The 18788-nt window shown below is 40.2% G+C and overlaps 1 long non-coding RNA gene across 2 annotated transcripts in view; it reads left to right on the forward strand.

Moving 5' to 3' along the window:
- Nucleotides 1-18788, forward strand: part of LOC105374505 (uncharacterized) — a 190382-nt gene that overhangs the window by 60150 nt on the left and 111444 nt on the right. For both annotated transcript variants that reach the window (XR_007058068.1, XR_007058069.1), the window contains exon 2: nt 5351-5426. This is a non-coding gene — a long non-coding RNA (uncharacterized LOC105374505). The remainder of the gene's footprint in view (nt 1-5350; nt 5427-18788) is intronic.

Below are 18788 nucleotides of genomic sequence, written 5' to 3' on the forward strand. Positions count from 1 at the left end.
TCTTTGACGTACTCTTTACTGGCTTTTCTTTCTTCCCTGTCTCAGATTTCTCACTTCCTCACAGGACGTGTGGGATCATCTCCCAGATGAACTACCAGTTCCTAAGTATTTGTCTGAAGGTACGCTCTTTTGAAAATCAAAACTAAGACCAGTTTGGACCCAGGACATAACAGAGACCATGGTCTGGCTTTAAACGGGCCGCTTTAAATGATTGTATATCTAGAAAACCCCATTGTTTCAGCCCAAAATCTCCTTAAGCTGATAAGCAACTTCAGCAAAGTCTCAGGTACAAAATCAATGTACAAAAATCACAAGCATTCTTAATACACCAATAACAGACAAACAGAGAGCCAAATCATGAGTGAATTCCCATTCACAATTGCTTCAAAGAGAATAAAATACCTAGGAATCCACCTTACAAGGGACGTGAAGGAACTCTTCAAGGAGAACTACAAACCACTGCTCAATGAAATAAAAGAGGATACAAACAAATGGAAGAACATTCCATGCTCATGTGTAGGAAGAATCAATATCGTGAAAATGGCCATACTGCCCAAGGTAATTTATAGATTCAATGCCATCCCTATCAAGCTACCAATGACTTTCTTCACAGAATTGGAAAAAACTACTTTAAAGTTCATATGGAACCAAAAAAGAGCCCGCATCACCAAGTCAATCCTAAGCCAAAAGAACAAAGCTGGAGGCATCAGGCTACCTGACTTCAAACTATACTGCAAGGCTACAGTAACCAAAACAGCATGGTACTGGTACCAAAACAGAGATATAGATCAATGGAACAGAACAGAGCCCTCAGAAATAATGCCACATATCTACAACCATCTGATCTTTGACAAACCTGAGAAAACAAGCAATGGGGAAAGGATTTCCTATTTAATAAATGGTGCTGGGAAAACTGGCTAGCCATATGTAGAAAGCTGAAACTGGATCCCTTCCTTACACCTTATACAAAAATCAATTCAACATGGATTAAAGACTTTAATGTTAGACCTAAAACCATAAAAACCCTAGAAGAAAACCTAGGCATTACCATTCAGGACATAGGCATGGGCAAGGACTTCATGTTTAAAACACCAAAAGCAATGGCAACAAAAGCCAAAATTGACAAGTGGGATCTAATTAAACTAAAGAGCTTCTGCACAGCAAAGGAAACCACCATCAGAGTGAACAGGCAACCCACAAAATGGGAGAAAATTTTCGCAAGCTACTCATCTGACAAAGGGCTAATATCCAGAATCTACAATGAACTCAAACAAATTTACAAGAAAAAAACAAACAACCCCATCAAAAAGTGGGCGAAGGACATGAACAGACACTTCTCAAAAGAAGACATTTATGCAGCCAAAAAACACATGAAAAAATGCTCACCATCACTGGCCATCAGAGAAATGCAAATCAAAACCACAATGAGATATCATCTCACACCAGTTAGAATGGCGATCATTAAAAAGTCAGGAAACAACAGGTGCTGGAGAGGATGTGGAGAAATAGGAACACTTTTACACTGTTGGTGGGACTGTAAACTAGTTCAACCATTGTGGAAGTCAGTGTGGCAATTCCTCAGGGATCTAGAACTAGAAACACCATTTGGCCCAGCCATCCCATTACTGGGTATATACCCAAAGGACTATAAATCATGCTGCTATAAAGACACATGCACACGTATGTTTATTGGGGCACTATTCACAATAGCAAAGACTTGGAACCAACCCAGATGTCCAACAATGATAGACTGGATTAAGAAAATGTGGCACATATACACCATGGAATACTATGCAGCCATCAAAAATGATGAGTTCATGTCCTTTGTAGGGACATGGATGAAATTGGAAATCATCATTCTCAGTAAACTATCACAAGAACAAAAAAACCAAACACCGCATATTCTCACTCATAGGTGGGAATTGAACAATGAGAACACATGGACACAGGAAGGGGAACATCACACTCCAGGGACTGTTGTGGGGTGGTGGGAGGGGGGAGGGATAGCATTGGGAGATATACCTAATGCTAGATGATGAGTTAGTGGGTGCAGCGCACCAGCATGTCACATGTATACATATGTAACTAACCTGCACATTGTGCACATGTACCCTAAAACTTAAAGTATAATAATAAAAATAAAAATAAAAATAAATAAATAAATTTGCTTGTGCATTTCTAGCTTTAGCTTCTTTTTTGCAAGGGGAGCTTAATTATTAGGATCACAGCTGAGGCCCAAGATATAGGAAAAATAGCCTCTGAGCTCCAAGTTATGTCTATTCTGAATCTCTTGCACTTTGTTCACAGGTGAGCATCTTTAGGCCTCTCTTAGGACCTGCTAATCTTTTTCTTTGCATTGATGTAACAAACTTGTCTAAATAATTCCCAAATTTATAAATGTTAAAAGCAGCAAATTATAGAAAATTCAGAGGTTGCTATTAGTACTGCTGCAAATATGGTTGTTACTAGCCTGCTGGTAAACAAGAAGACATAAATTGCTCACAGTAAAAAGCACAGTAGTTTATGACCATTAAGTGAAGGGGTGTGTAATCCTACATACATACAGACTCCAAGGGTTTTTTTCTATTTTAGCCTAGTACAATAACTGATTGTCATGGTTAATTTTATGTGTCAACCTGTCTGGGTCATGGTGCCCAGATACTTGGTCAAACATTATTCTAGATGTTTCTCTGATGTGTTTTTGAATTACATTTAAATCAGTAGATTTCAAGTAAAGCAGATTTCCCTCTATGATGTGAGTGGGCCTCATCCAATCAATTGAAGTCCTGAGTAGAAAAAAAAAACTGATTTCCTCTGAGCAAGAGAGAATTCTGCAGCACATGGCCTTTGGTCTTGAGCTATATTGGCTTTTTTTCTGGGTCTTCAGCCTGCTGCCCTCTCTGCAGATTTTGGACTTGCTAGCCTCTGTAATTGTGTGAGCAAATTCTTTAAAATAAGTATCTTTCTCTACATATACGTACACATTCTATTGATTCTGTTTCCCTGGAGAACCCTAATACACTGATATTTATAATAATTTACCTCTTTGTTCAACACTTATTTATTGAGCACTTATTATGTGCCAAGTACCATTCTAGGAACTTGGAATGGATTATTAAACAATACAGGGTCTTACAGATTAAGACCCGACCCTGGTGTGCTTTTATTCTAGTGGGGGAAGATAAGTGGTAAAAAGTAAACATGAAGCATTAAATTATGTTCTAACATGCTAGAAGTGATAAGTGCTATAGAAAACAAAAGTAAAAGGAAGACAGTGTGAGGAGACATTGGGTCATTAGAGAAGGTTAAAATACAATCAATATATTGGGAAAGTAGGTAACTATGAAAGACTCACAAATGTGCAAATTGCTTTAAATTAAGCTTTTAATTTTGAGGTAATTATAATAAATGTGCAGTTGTAAGAAATAATATAAAAAGATCCTATGTACCCTTTATCCAGTTCCCTACTGTGGTAACATCTTGCAAATCTATACTAAAGATCACAACTGGCTATTAACACAAATGCAGTCAAGATACACAACAGGTGCATCACTACAGGTATTTCTCCTCCTGCCTTTTTATGACCACAGAGCCCTTCATTTCTTTCTTAACCATTACTATAATTTTGTCATTTTGAGGATGTTTTATAAAAGGGCCTTATGGTGTGTAAGCTTTCAGAATTGGCTTTTTTCATTTGGCATAGATCCTTGACAATTCATTCATGTCATTGTGTATATCAATAATTCATTCCTTTTTATTGCTGAGTAGTATTCATGGTATTGATATACCACAGTTTGTCTCACCATTCACCCATTGAAGGGCATCTGAGTTGTTTCCTGTTTGGGACTATTATGAATCAATTTGCTATAATTTTCCATGTACACATTTTTATGTGAACATATGTTTTTATTACTTCATAATGAATGCCTAGCGGGTGCAGTTCCAGGGTCCTATGGTAGTTACATGTTTAGTTTTGTAAGAAACTGTCAAACTCTTCCAGAGTAGCTGTGCCATTTAAAATTCCCATCAGCAATGTATGAGTGATTCAGTTTTACTGCTTCCTCGCCAGCATTTGGTATTATAACTATTTTTAATTTCAATCATTCTGATAAGTGTGTAATGATATCTCATTGTGGTTTTCATCTGTACTTGACTAATGGCTAATGATCTTCCACATCTTTTCAGGTGCTTGTTTGCCACCTGTATATCTTCTGTAGTGAAATGTTTATTCATGTCCTTTGCCCATTTTCTAATTAGATTGTTTAGGTTTTTTTTTTTTAACTTCAGAGTTTGGAGAAATATCTACATATATATATGTGTATATATATATATATATATATATATATATATATATATATATATATATATATATATATATTAGTTCTTTACTAGCTATGTGGTTTACAAATATTCTCTCCCAGTCTGTAGCTTGTTTTTTCATCCTTTCAACAGGATCTTTTGCAGAACAAAAGCTTTTACTTTTGATGGAATTCAGTTTACCAATTTTTCCTTTTATGGTTCATGCTTTTGCTGTCAAGTGTAAGATCTCCTTGCCTAACCCTAAATCCTGAAGATTCTTATCCTCTGTTTTTTCTTATAAGTTTTGTAGCTTTATGTTTTACATTTAAGTTTATAATTTTGAATTAATATTTGTATTAGGTGTGAAGCTTAGGTCAAGTTTCATTGTTTTTCCTATGGATTCAATTGCTTCAACACCATTTGTGAAAAGTCTCCATTTCTTTTGTTGAATTGCTTTTGTATAACTTTGTCGAAGATCAGATGGGGATATATTTGTGGACCGATTTCTGGATTTTTATTCTCTTCTATTGATCTATGTGTCTATCCCTCCACCGAGACCACACAGTCTTAACTACTGTAGCTATATAATATGTCTTAAAATCAGGAGGACTGATTCCTTCCACTTTATTATTTTGCAAAATGGTTTTAGCTATTCTAGTTCCTTTGCTTTTCCATTTAAATTTTAGAATGAACCTATCTATGCCTACAAAAAATCTTGCTGGAGTTTTTATGGGAATCGCATTAAATGTGCATATCAATTTGAAGAGAATTGATGTATTTATTGTGTTGCTTTTTTCAAATCATGAACTCAGCATGTCTCTCCATTTATTTTGATCTGTAATTTATTTCATCAGTGTTTTGTAATTTTTAGCATACAAGCCCTGTGTATGTTTTGTTAGATTTAAAACTAAGCATTTTTATTTTTCAATTGCAAGTGGTATTTATTGCCTTTTAATTTTCAGTGTCTGTTGGGACAGTTTTAATTTCTTTATTTCCATTTTCACTTGCATGTCTTTTATTTCCATTGTTGTTGTTTGTTTTCACCTTACAGCACTGGCTAGAACTTCCATCCCTGTGGTGAATAAGAGTGATGAAAGTGGACACCATCGTATTATTGAATTGAAGGGGTGAGTGCCGCCTTATTACTGTCAGGTGTGGGAAGAAGTTCCACTTCCCCACTCGGCCTCCATTGACATCCAATGCTGGGAGGGTCCTCATTACTGGTGAGTAAGGTGAGAGCTCCAGATCTTTTCTGAGCTTCCACTGATACCTCCTTGGCTGGAAGAGGTAGGAATACCTTCTTACTTCTCCCCACATAACCCCCACCAACATCGTGGTGGAGAGGTGGAGGGCCAGCCCCACTACCACTGGGTTGTATTGAAAATCCTAACTTTCCACTAAGCCTCCTCGGACACCAACTTAGTGTGGAGTGGGAGGTGCACCCAGTTACTTCCATGTGGGGTGCTACTACTGCCCAGCAAAGATGAAGGTCCTATTTTTATATTCAGCCTCCTTTGATATCCTCTTTCTCCCAGTGGGGAACTGGGGAGCCTCATTACATCTCAGTTGGGATAGAAATCTAGGCTTTTTACTGGACTTTTGCAGACATGAGTGGAGCACAGAATTTTCTGCTGGGTTTGGCTGGAGATGAGCTGCTATTTTCTGGAAGTTTTCTGACTTGAAAGATGGAAGCTTGGTTCGCTTGTTGGGTTGCCCTGTTCCTGGTTCTTTGGTGGAGGAAGCAGGCTTCTGTTGGGCTTTATTTTGTCTGTGCTTGCTCACATCTACGGGCTGCTGGCTTCCTTAGGAACAGTTTGGGATATATGAGGGAAGGAGCTTGGGCCCTGAGTTCCCTAGCTGGCCTATCTTCTTCTCTCTACTTTTCATAGCCTTCTCATATTTATTTTACCTATAACATCCAAGGTTTTAAGTGTGCTTAACAGAAGGAATAGGAAAAAGCACATTCACTCCATCTTCTCCAAAGTTGAAGTCCTTCATAAGTTTTTTAAATTTTCTATAGCTAAAATGACTAAATTTTTAGTTATCTAGAAAACTTTCCTATCCAAAGTGACTCATCAAGGACAACTGTAAAATTTTGTTTTACCACCTATGTTATTAAACTAGAGATTTCCCCCAGAGAGTAACATTTACTTTGCTTGGTATTCGGTTATAACTATCAGATATTTAAGGCTGAGTCACCTATTTCTAATAACCATGGTGATTGCACCAAATAATTACATATACAACATATGAAAGGCAGTCCTCCAGCCGAGGGATCTATGGAACCACAGGTCTGTAGAACTAGAGAGAAGGAGAAAATCATTAAATCCTTCTGCACCGAGGGGTGGATATCTGAGTTGGCAGAGCAGGAGTTGAAGGTGCAGGTTTTGACATTTTGGCATGGAGTTGGCTGAGCTCAAATTTCTACCCTGTGTTTATAAGCTGGGTGACTTTAGGCAACTTATTTCATCTTATTTTTCCTCAGTTTCTATTATTTTAAAATGGAGATTATAATCATACATACTTCAGGGGACTGAGGTATGCATTCAATAAGTGAGTGTATATGAAACACTTATAACAATTATTGGCACATATGACCATTCAATGAATATTACCTACCATAATTACTCATATAGTATGATTTAGAGAGATTAGGAAGACTGCTTTCCACCTATTTTCCTGCCTATTTTTCATCAGTAGCTGGGTTTCAACCACTGAGTAATTACTTAGGTGAAGGTATGGGCCCTATTAAATGCAAATTTCACAAGGCCTAGTGTATTATTCTGAAGGCATCTATACCTTGTATTAGAGAGATCTAACTATTGCCTCAGCTGTTGATGGCAGAGGCCCAAAATGACAGTGGCTTAAAGAAAGATGGAAGCTTGGTTTGATCTCATCTAAAAGTTCAGGTGGTCTGGAAGTTCTGGTCTGCAAAATTGCCAGGGCCCAGGCAGCTTCTGTCTCGTTGCTCTGCCATCTCTAACACGTTGTCCTTGTCTACATGGTGCTAGATGGCTCATCCTGTATCCATCCACCAAGCATCAGGATGGAGCAGAGACTAAGCAGGAAAGGATCCGCCTTCCTTTTAAGCACATGTCTCCAAAGAAGCCAGCATCACTCCCACTCACATCCCATTGGCCAGATACACGTCACCTGGCCACATGTAGCTGCAAGTCAGGCTGGGCATGGATTTCTTCAATGCAGTTGACTATGAGACTATCTAAAAATGCAGTTAATATGGAAAGAGAGTTTGCCCCACACTGCAGGGTGGATTAGTGTATCTTCTACTGCCTACCTTAAAACCCGTGAAGAATCTTCCTGATTCAAGCCCTGTATCCTCACTCTGTCTTCTTATTTGCCTTGCATATAAACAGTACCTCCTTCTGCTCTCATCAAAAGCCAGCATTACCAGGGCAACAGGGAGAAAAGTCAGTTGTCTCTGTTTTAGGGCAAAAGATCACCTTCTCTGTCATTCTTGGCTAACAATACTCACGTAGGTTTTGAAAACCTAGGTTATGCTGGCTTTGTGATGTTGGAATAATAGCTAATCTCTCTAAACCAGTGGTTTTCAACGGGGGTAATTTTGCTCCCCAGGGGACATTTGGCAATGTCTATAGGCGTTTTCAGTTGTCCCAGTTGAGGGAGAGGGCTGTTTTAATGGGTAGAGGCCAGGAATGTGGCTAAATATCCTACAATGCACAGAACAGCACCAACTTATAAAACGTTATGTGGTCTGAAAATATTAATAGTGTAGTGGCAGATAAGTTCTGCTTTAAGCTTTAGTTTCTTTCCTGAAAACTGGGACGAAATAGCACCTGCTTCATAGGTTATACGTGAGGAGCCTCTGAACCAGCACTTGTAAAGGATTTAGCCGAGTGCCTGGCCCATGGTGGGTTCCAGACAACCTCTGTCCTCAGGGACTCTTAATCTTCTCCTTGTTTTATCTGACTTCTCTGCACTCATCTTCTTGCAATGTTTATTATTATTATTTTTAATTTTAGATTCAGAGGGTACATGTGCAAGTTTGCCACCTGGGTATATTGCATAATGCTGGTGTTTGGGCTTCTGATGATCTTGTCGCCCAGGTAGTGAACACAGTACTCCCAATTGGCAGTTTTTCAATCCTTTTCCACTCCCTGCCTCCCTCTCTTTGGAATCTCTAGTGCTTATTTTCCTATCTTTGTGTCTGTGTGTATCCAGAGTTTAGCTCCCACTTGTAAGTGAGAACACATGGTATTTGGTTTTGTTTCTGCATTACTTGGCTTAGTATAAATGGCCTCCCCTGCATACATGTTGCTGCAAAGGACATGATTTCATTCTTTTTATGGCTGCATAGTATTCCATGTTGTGTATGTACCACATTTTCTTTATCCAGTTGCCACTTACTAGCACCTAGATTATTCCATGTCTTTGCTATTGTGATAGTGCTGGGATGAACATGTGAGTGCATGTGTCTTTTTGGAAGAACAATTTATTTTACTTTGAGTAAATACCCAGTAGTGGAGTTGCTGGGTCAAATGGTAGTTGTATTTTTAGTTATTTGAAAAATGTCCAGACTGCTTTCCATGGTGGCCGAACTAATTTGCATTTTAACCAGCAGTGTGTAACGTCTACTTGCAATCTTTAATTAATAGTATGTATGTCTCTTGAGAAGGGGAAATGAGGGAAATTACATTTTACTGTGGAACTGGTGGATACCAGAATTTTAACATAAATTACTTTATGTAAACATCTCCAAACCATGTGAAGTTGGCATTACTCTCCCCAACTTGGAAATGGGCCAGTGAGGCTCAGGGAGATCTCCTAACACCCTGCGAAAACAGAGTTAATCAGTGGCTGAGCAGGGATTCGACGTCATGTATGTTTGACCCCAATATGTGTGTTTTGGTTGCAAATTGGCTTTTCCCAGTCCTGTAACTTGGAAATTCTACAAGGGTAAAGAGGGCCGGGTGTGGTGGCTCATGCCTATAATCCCAGCACTTTGGGAGGCTGAGGCAGGTGGATCACCTGAGGTCGGTGGATCAACTGAGGTCAGGAGTTCGAGACCAGCCTGACCAACATGGTGAAACCCCATCTCTACTAAAAATACAAAAATTAGCTAGGTGGGTGGTGGGTGCCTGTAATCTCAGCTACTCAGGAGGCTGAGTCAGGAGAATCGCTTGAACCCTGGAGGTGGAGGTTGCAGTGAGCCGAGGTCATGCCGTTGCACTCCAGCCTGGGCGACAAGAGCAAAACTCAGTCTCAAAAAATAATAAAATAAAACAAAATAAAATGGCAAAGAGAATCTGAAGCACCAGAATGCTCTGGAGGAAGTCAGAAGAGACTGTTGCAGGGAACAAGGATGCAGTCACACTTTTTCCTCAGGTTGGGCTTGTAAAAGCAGCACGTACTTCAACCTGTTTAGGAGCCTTGGCCATGTTATCTTGTTCCCACAAAATGGTAGGCAGTGTTATCTTCTTTTTTCCTTGTTGAATCCTAGGAATTGGGTTTATATTAGTATCCTAAGGATGTTGTAAGAAATTACCACAAACTGAGTGAACTAATGCAATAGAAATTTACTCTCTTACAGTTCTGGATGCCAAAATTCTGAAATCAAGGTGTCGGTGGGGCCATGTTCCCTCTAGCCGCTCTAGAGAAGAATCCTTCTTTGCCTCTTCCAGCAATTGATGATTGCTGGCAATTCTTGGCATCCCTTGGCTTGTGGCTGCATCACTCCCATCTCTGCCTTTGTCTTCACTGGCTTTCTTCCCTGTGCATCTGCATCTCTGCATCTCTGTATCTCTACGTGGACTTCTCATAAGGACAGCAGTCATTGGATTTTTGCTGATTGTAATCCAGCATGACTTCCTCTTAATTTGATTACATCTGCAAAGACTATTTGCAAATGAAGGCACATTCACTGGATTCACTGGTGCTGGGGGTTAGGACTTAATAATAGCTCTTGGAGGGACACAATTCAACCCATGATGGGTCTAAACAATGTTTTATAATTGATATAAAAGCTAAACCATGTTTTCTTAAAACAACTAGAAACTTCTAACCCAGTGGCAACTTTGGGTGTGCAAGAGAGCTCAAAGCAAACTCTCAGTTTCCTGGCAAGAGAGGAGGCCTCCACTCTGTCACCCCATGGAGACTCCTCCTTGATACTGACATTATTGCAATACATGCAAAACACACAAAAAAATCACCTTAGAGTTTGGGAAGGATGAGGATATTTAATGGCAGCAATATAAGTAATTTTTTTTGCCTCTGCATATACTCTTTTTTAATTAAAAAAATAAAAACGGAAAAACAGATTGGGGTTAAAGGTCTTTAGTTTTTAGAGGTGATATGAAAGGAGAAAACCTGTATGGCTTCTGGTCTTTATACAGTGCATTGGAACAGAAAGTCTTAATTATACCAATCAAGGTGACATCCTTTTCCACTGAACTATGTATTATATTTTCCCTTCAAGACAAAGATGAACATTTATGCAATTAAAATAGGCTGATTGAAAAAAATCCGTGTCAGGCATAAGCTCGGATTTATACTTTTGGGCTCAATTGACTGGGGAACATTAAAAAAACTGCACAACTGAGCAAAAATGGTCTCTTTTCAGCACATATTTTGAACAGGAAAGAGGAGTTTGCTTTCCCCTGCATTCAGCAACCCAGCTCCCCTCCTCATTAGTCCAGTGCAGAGTTGGGGCTGCTCCCTCAGGTCCTCATCAGCTTACTCAAACATGCTGTAAAATTGATCTGACAGCCCATGAAAGGGAGTTTAGAGGCAGGGAGGGAAGGACATGAGAGAGCTAAGATTTTGGTGACATGGAACTCTGTATTTTCAAGGCTATCATCATATTTGCCTAGTATTAAGGGCTGTGACATTAGCAAGGCCCTCTGATCTTTGGGCTACAAAATTGTTGTGACAAGGGCCCTATGTGTGTCTGTGTGTATATGTGTGTGTGTTGAGGGGTATCTTTTGAGTCCTGAGTTTGAAAATACTTATTTGTAATAATGGGAAAGAAAGTTCTCTGTGATTGAAGGCTGAATCCTTTTGACATGAAGAGCAAAGACAATTAGCATTTGTTGATCATTTGTTAAATTTCAGATGCTTTCATTTTTTTTCTTTTAATCACCATGATAATCCTTGAGGTTTGTATTATTATTACCCCATTATACAGATTAGGGCACAGAGACCAAGAAAGATATTTGACATATTTAGCAATTGGAAAAACACAGGCAGAGACGATTTGGAGGTACTCTGGCCATAGGTCCTGGAGTTCCCCAGGAGCAAGTTAGGATGGCTGGGGCCATGGGAAGGTACACCAAGGAATCTTGGGGCAACAACTATTTATAATCACAAAAATATTTCAACTGCCACCAGAGCAAACCAGGTAAATTGGCTCTGTTTGGAAGAAAAGTTTGCTTTCCCTAAGACAAGCAGTTAGTCACATGGTCTGACTTGGGGTTTGAACTCAGCTCGTTTTACTGCAAATATAATACTCTTTCCAATATGCCACACTCTCGTCTCCTCACTCTATCCTTCCTGTGAGGTCAGAGCCTGCAAATGTGTCTGGAGGAGGAACAGTGGCAGATATTATCGGGGGTGAATGAGGTCAGAGGCTTTCCTGTGAATATCTTTGTCAAGGTGATGGAAAAAGTTTCCAGGAACCTTTAGAATGTGTGTCGTGTATCATGAGGATTGGAGACTACAAAAGAGGAAAAGGTGTTCAAATTCAGAGTTGGATAATTAAAAACAAATATTGTCAACATCAATAATTTTCCCCAGAGTTGCTCCTCCTTTTATGGTATGGAAAGTTTCAAGACCTGTGACCTAGATGGTGTTCTGGGGAGACGGTAGATATACATGGAGAAAATGCCAACATATTTTATGGTTATGCTAAGCATATTTTGAAAACTTCCGTTAAGATTTTGGTTCAGCCTGGTGCAGTGGCTCATGCCTGTAATCCCAGCACTTTGGGAGGCTGAGGCGGGTGGATCATCTGAGGTCAGGAGTTTGAGACCAGCTTGGCCAACATGGTGAAATCCTGTCTCTAATAAAAATACAAAAAATTAGCCAGGCATGGTGGCGGGCGCCTGTAATCCCAGCTACTCGGGAGGCTGAAGCAGGAGAATCACTTGAACCTGGGAGGTGGAGGTTGCAGTGAGCCAAGATGGCGCCATTGCACTCCAGCCTGGGCAACAAGAGCAAAACTCCATCTCAAAAAAACAAAAACAAAAACAAAAAACAAAAGATTTTGGTTCCCCCACACACAAAAAATAGAGTTTGAAATTTAGTGAATTAATTGTATTCCATGGCTTTTTCTTTACAGATAGATTCAGGTCTCATAAAAAACTATGCCATCTGTACACATTCTGATATGTACAGCAAAATGCTGTCATTTTCTTTCAACTGGCAACCCCAAGCTACAAACAAAAACATGCTGGTGGAAATTAAAGGAAATGCCCTCTCTATCCAATTGAAACAGAGAGATGTGTAAAATCCTTTCTTTTCTTTTCAAGTAAGGGCACAAAACAACATTCCCTTCTCTAAACACAAATAGAAATTTACTCACTGGCTTGGAAAAAACAGGCCAAGAATGGACACTTTTTCCTCTCCAGAGATCAGTGCAGCTCTTATCTCTATTTAAAAACCTTTGAATCTGTGCTTCCTGCTGTTATCTTACATTTTTTAATTTCATCTATTTCACTGTGCTGTTTTCCTCAGTGAACTAGTACCACCTCTCCCTTCCTTCTTGCAGATTCAAACCTCTTCTGTGATAATCATAGAACTGTAGCATCAGAAGGCAATTCCCTAAGTGTGGTCTGCCCACATCCCTGGTGGTAAGCCAAATGATCGTAAGTGGTAGAGCGGCAATTACTTTTAAAAAATTTGACAGTCATATATCTATTTCAATGTATAGCAAATATAGAATTGGAACATCAAACTATGATTTTATAGATATTATTGCCTAGGACCATGCTAAGTTTCAGAAGTGAATCTATTTAGATCAATAAAAATATATTAAGAAAGTAGTGGCATAGGTGGTGTGTCACTCTAACAGAGCATAAACCAGTTGGGAGACAATCCTACCGAGGTCTGAAGTGGCATTCTCACACATGGACTATGTTCTCAGCAGCTGGGCAGCTAGCTTCTGCTCATGAGGAGCAGAGGTAACTGGAGTAGCATAGTCTGCATGAGGATTGAGCAGACCCAAACACAAGTTGAGAGAGGCTGGGCATTAGAAGAACAAATATCTCCTTTTAAGATTGTTCAACCTGACAGTCTGTTCTCAATGTGAACTCAAGAGGCTGCTTCCTCTACGTGCCCATGCAAAGCACAAATCTGAGATCTTACTATTCCAATTTGAGGAAGAGCCACCTGCACCTTGGAAAAACGGAAGCGCGTGCAAAAGCCTGAGAACCAGCTGGTTGCAGGCCTGTGCCAGGCCTTTGTGCACTAGGTGTGCCTGGGTCGGGGGAGAAGTCCATGGGGCTGAGCTCAGGCAGGCCAGTTCTCCGTGTATGTGGTAACAAGAAGGTAAAGGAACAAGAAAAGCTGTTGAACCAGCCATAAATTGGCTGTCTTCCGTGGTATTCAGTGTCCTGTTTATGACTGTAAATTGGGTATATCTTTATCACAACTGTGCTTTTGGGGAAAACAGGAAGTATTTCTCCTAAGGAATGGGTTTACACAGAATATTTGGTGTATTCGTTCTCACAGTGCTATAAAGAACTACCTGAGTCTGGGGAATTTATGAAGAAAAGAGGTTTAATTGACTCATAGCTCTGCAGGCTTAACAGGAAGCATGGCTGGGGAGGCCTCAGGAAACTTACAATCATGGTGGAAGGCTAAGGGGAAGCAAGCATGTCTTACCCTGACAGAATAGGAGAAGGGGTTGGGGAAGTGCCACACACTTTTAAACTATCAGATCTCATGAGAACTCACTCACTCTCACGAGAACAGCATGGAAGAAATCCACCCCCATGATCTAGTCACCTCCCACCAGGTCCCTTTCCCAAAATTGGGAATTACAATTCAACATGAGATTTGGGTGGGGACACAGAGCCAAACCATATCACTTGGTATGTTAGTGAGGGCTCTCAAGATAAACAGAACTAACAGGATATATCTATATATTTATCTAACGTAGGAGATTATAAGGTATTGGCTCACTCAATTATGAAGACTGAGAAATGTCACAATCTGCTTGTCTGCAAGCTGGAGATCCAGAAAAGCTGGTGGTGTAGTTTAATGGACTGAGAGCCAGTGCCATAGATTCAAGTCCAAGCCCGAAGGCCTGAGAACCAGGAGCTCCAAGGATAGGAAAAGATTTACTTACTAGCTCATGCAGTCAGACAACGAACAAACTCAACCTTCTTCCACCTTTTAGTTCTATTTAAGCCTTCAACAGATTGGATGATGCCCCCTCACATTGTGGAGGGCATCTGCTTTACTCAGTCTACCAATTCAAATCCTAATCTCTTCTGGAAATAACCTCACAGAAATATCCAGAACTAATGTGTAATCAGATATCTGGCCATCCTGTGGCCCAGTCAAACTGACACATAAAATTAACCATCACACTTGGTATCCTCAACATTGTGCTAATGAAGACTGAGTTATTTAGACTTTGGAAAAGATACAGTGGACTATTGTGCTCATTTGAGGATGTCCATCAAGTCAGCCTTTAGTACTAAACAAAAAACAGATAGATATGAAGAATGGATTGTTTAGGCAGATTCTGGCACAGAACATGGCTGATGTTAGAACCTCCCCTCCCCCAGGGTCATGACCTTGGGAAGAAGAGATGGATAAGTAAACCCTTAGACCCATCTCAATATTACCTCCTCAGTAAGTTCTTTCCTATAATAATTGTACCTTACCCTTCCTTGTTCTTCCATCTTCTATATCACTTTATCTGGACAACTGTTAGGGTAAGCACACTGCTAATTATATTTTTGTTTAATCCACTTTGATAACATGTTAAGTGCCCAGAGTGTACAGATCTCTTCATGATTATCTCTGCACTCTACTCAGAATCCAGTTCAGTGCTTTGTGGAGAATAATAACTCAGAACAATAAAGATGGAACTGAAGGAGGGGGTATAAGTGGGGAGATGTAGCCACGCTCAGCAAGACAGGGCCATGTGGTCACAGAACTACCCAGGAGACTTTGTGCCTGGCCAGCGCCTAGATGACATTTGCTGGACACTTGGCACTGATTGCTGCTAGCTGAGTGAGGAAGGGAAAAAAAAAAAAAAAAAAATCCCAAAACATATTCAGCTGTTCTAGATTTAAGGTTTGCCTGGCTGCTTCACGGTCACAATTGAACATGCTGGTTACTCTGGGTAAATTAAATTAGCTCTAAAGATATGCCCAATTGCACCCTAAGTTCCAGGTGTTGACAAGTCCTTGCCTCGAAACAGGATCATCGGTGACAATAAATTTCACATATTTGGCTTTTGTAAAATCTAAAAGGTTTGTTCATATGGTTATAAATGGCTAAAGAAAACAGGCAAAGCAGCAGGTGCTAAGATATGTGTTGTTCGGTGGCTTAGACAGGCAGATAAGACCCTTAAATGTTGTAGCCTTTGAACCTGGGATGGGGCAGAGTGATATCTGATGCCATGGTAAGCAGAGTAACAGGCTGGGGAAGCATTGTCGTTGCATCAACAGGTAGGGGTTTGAGTTCTACCTCTGCTGCTTAGTGCCTGTGTCACCTTGGACAAGGTTATGTAATTTCTCTGAGGTTCGGTGTTTTTCTTTGGAAAACGGATTTTAAAACACTTGGCTCAGTGCTCAATAAATAGTAACTTTTTTATTATTTTAATGTAGGACCTCATTTAATCCTTACAATAACTTCATGAGTGCTCTATCAATATCCCCATTTTATAGATGAGGAAACCAAGGCAATGGAGACTTGGAGAATGTATTACTCAGGGTTCTGTAGAGGGACAGAACTAATAGGATAGACATATATATAAAGGGGAGTTTATTAAGGAGTATTGACTCACACAATTACAAGGTAAGGTTCCACAATAGGCCATCTGCAAGCTGAGGGGCAAGAAAGCCAGTCCAAGTCCCAAAACCTCAAAAGTAGGGAAGCCTACAGTGCAGACTTCAGTCTGTGGTCGAAGGTCCAAGAGTCCCAAAGCTGAAGAACTTGGAGTCCAATGTTCGAGGGCAGGAAGTATCCAGCATGGGAGAAAGATGTAGGCCAGAATACTAAACCAGTCTAGTCTTTTGATGTTCTTCTGCCTGCTTTTATTCTGGCCTTGATGGCTGCTGATTAGATGGTGCCCACCCAGATTGAGGATGGGTCTGTCTTTCCCAGTCCACTGACTCAAATGTTAATCTCCTTTGGTAACACCCTCACAAACACACCCAGGAACAATACTTTGTATCCTTCAATCCAATCAAACTGACACTCAGTATTAACCATCACAGAGAGCATAAGCAAATTGCCCATGGCATTAGAAGTAGAGATGAATTTTGAATGTGTTACCAGACCAACAGATTTGTATGCCCACTGTGCAGTAACATACCAATACATCGAGACAGCAAGGTTTGCATCAGAGAAAGAGTTCAATTATCACAGGATGGCTGAATGAGATGAGAGGGATACTTAAATTCAGCTCCTTGAGAAGTTCTGGGCTGGAGTTTTTAAGGGGATTGTGGAGAGTGAGGGGCTGGGAAATTGAGGTCATTGGCTACTTGTATTAAGGGGGATGAAATCATTAGAATGTAGGAACAGCATTCTTCAGTGAGTCAGCCTCTTCTTAGTAGTTTCACTGGTATGCAGGATCTGAAAGAACATCTCCAAATAGAAAATTTAAGCTTCACAATGCCTAAGTTGTTATCTATAGAGCCGTTAAGGGGAATTTTAATCTTGTGACAGGGTCTGCAAGATTCTGGGGCAACAGGTACCAACAACTATGAGGAAGCAGGTCAGAGAGCCAGCTCCCCTCATAGTTAATGCTGAATGTGCTGCAAGCTGGATTTATTTTTGTTTCTTCCCCTCCTTTCTTCTTGACTTAAATTCAGTTTTCTTCTCCTTTACTTTTATAAAGTTTATAGGTATGGTTACAAATCCGTGTCTCCAGGCCAGCGACTGATCCCACTAACCCACACTGGTAACTTATAGCTATTAGTAATTTATATTCCACAACCAGCATAAACATGCTGGATGGATTCACTTGAAGTTGTCAACTCTCCTTTTCTTCCAAGATGACTCAGAGACTTGCAAACTGAATACTTGTATAAGATGCATCTCTGTCCTCTTTGGCACCTTGGCATACTGGGTCACAATGTAATAATTACTTTCATGGTCATCCAGGAACAGACAAATCCCTTCTTTCCTCATGCCTTCATTGTCTTGCCTGAGAAGCAAGAGGGCTGGAGTTTGAGAGATGATCTCCCAGCTCTCATATGCGTGGGAACGTGAAAGGCAGGCATGGTCCATTGGAAAAGAAAAAAAAAAACCTGTTTGGATCAATAAAAAGGGACAGGCACAGGAAAACAGTCAGAGCTTGATAGATGAGGGAACATGTCGTTATGTAGGTGGGGAATAAGAGGAAGACAAGGGTGTATAGAGGAAATGGGAGAGATCTGTGGTTCTTGGGGACTTTATTTAGAAAATTCTTCACAATTCTCAGAAAGCTTAAATAGTTTTTGAAGAAATAGGAGTGAAATTCTTTGGCTAGAAAGTGGACAGGAGACCACTGGGTCTGTGTGCCTGTGTTTGTGAGAGTGTGAAAGTAGATGGATAAAATTTGCAAGCAGGAATGAGTCAGACAGCCAGCTTCTGGTACCCTTGCTATAACTATCCAGAAGCATGAGTCCATTCTGGTTTTAGGAGTCAGGAATATAAATGGAATTTGTATTGCAATCCAAGGGTGGGTGTGAGAACTGGTGAGAATATAATAGATTACTTGTGTTTATGAGGTCTGATATGAGTAGTTCAAGCTGTAAAAGCAAGATATGAGTGAGTCTCATTTTCTTTGGTTCTTCCAGTTGCCCCTAGAGAGAAAAAGTGGTGACTGGGTATACTCAATCCAATAAATAAATAAACACATACACATTTTGCAATGATTGCTTTCTGCCGATGTTAAATATACCTCCCAAGTTGGGAAAATGGCTTATATGTTCTACTGTCCCTCCTGCTTTCTGTCTTCCCAGCCCCTCTCTTCCTTCAAGGCTGAAGGCTTCCATAGTCAGTTGAGACTCTGCTTCACACATTATAATGAAGGCGCTTGCTCTCTAAATGACTCTCTAGTCCTGATTGTGCTAAATAGGGTTTCTGTGGTTTCAGATGAGGACCATTTTTTGTTTAAATGCTGATGGCCTCCCAGACATTGTAGAATCAGTGGGGTGCTGAGGAGTGAGGGAGAGGAAGCTTCTTTGCCAGTCTACAAAGAATTGGGGTAGGAAGCAGTGAAAAGAACCCCCTGAGTTTCTAAAACCTCTCAACTGGAGTGGAAGAGGAGGGGTGTCCTTTGTAAATTA

Source organism: Homo sapiens, chromosome 4, assembly GCF_000001405.40.
Source record: "Homo sapiens chromosome 4, GRCh38.p14 Primary Assembly".
NCBI lineage: Eukaryota > Metazoa > Chordata > Mammalia > Primates > Hominidae > Homo > Homo sapiens.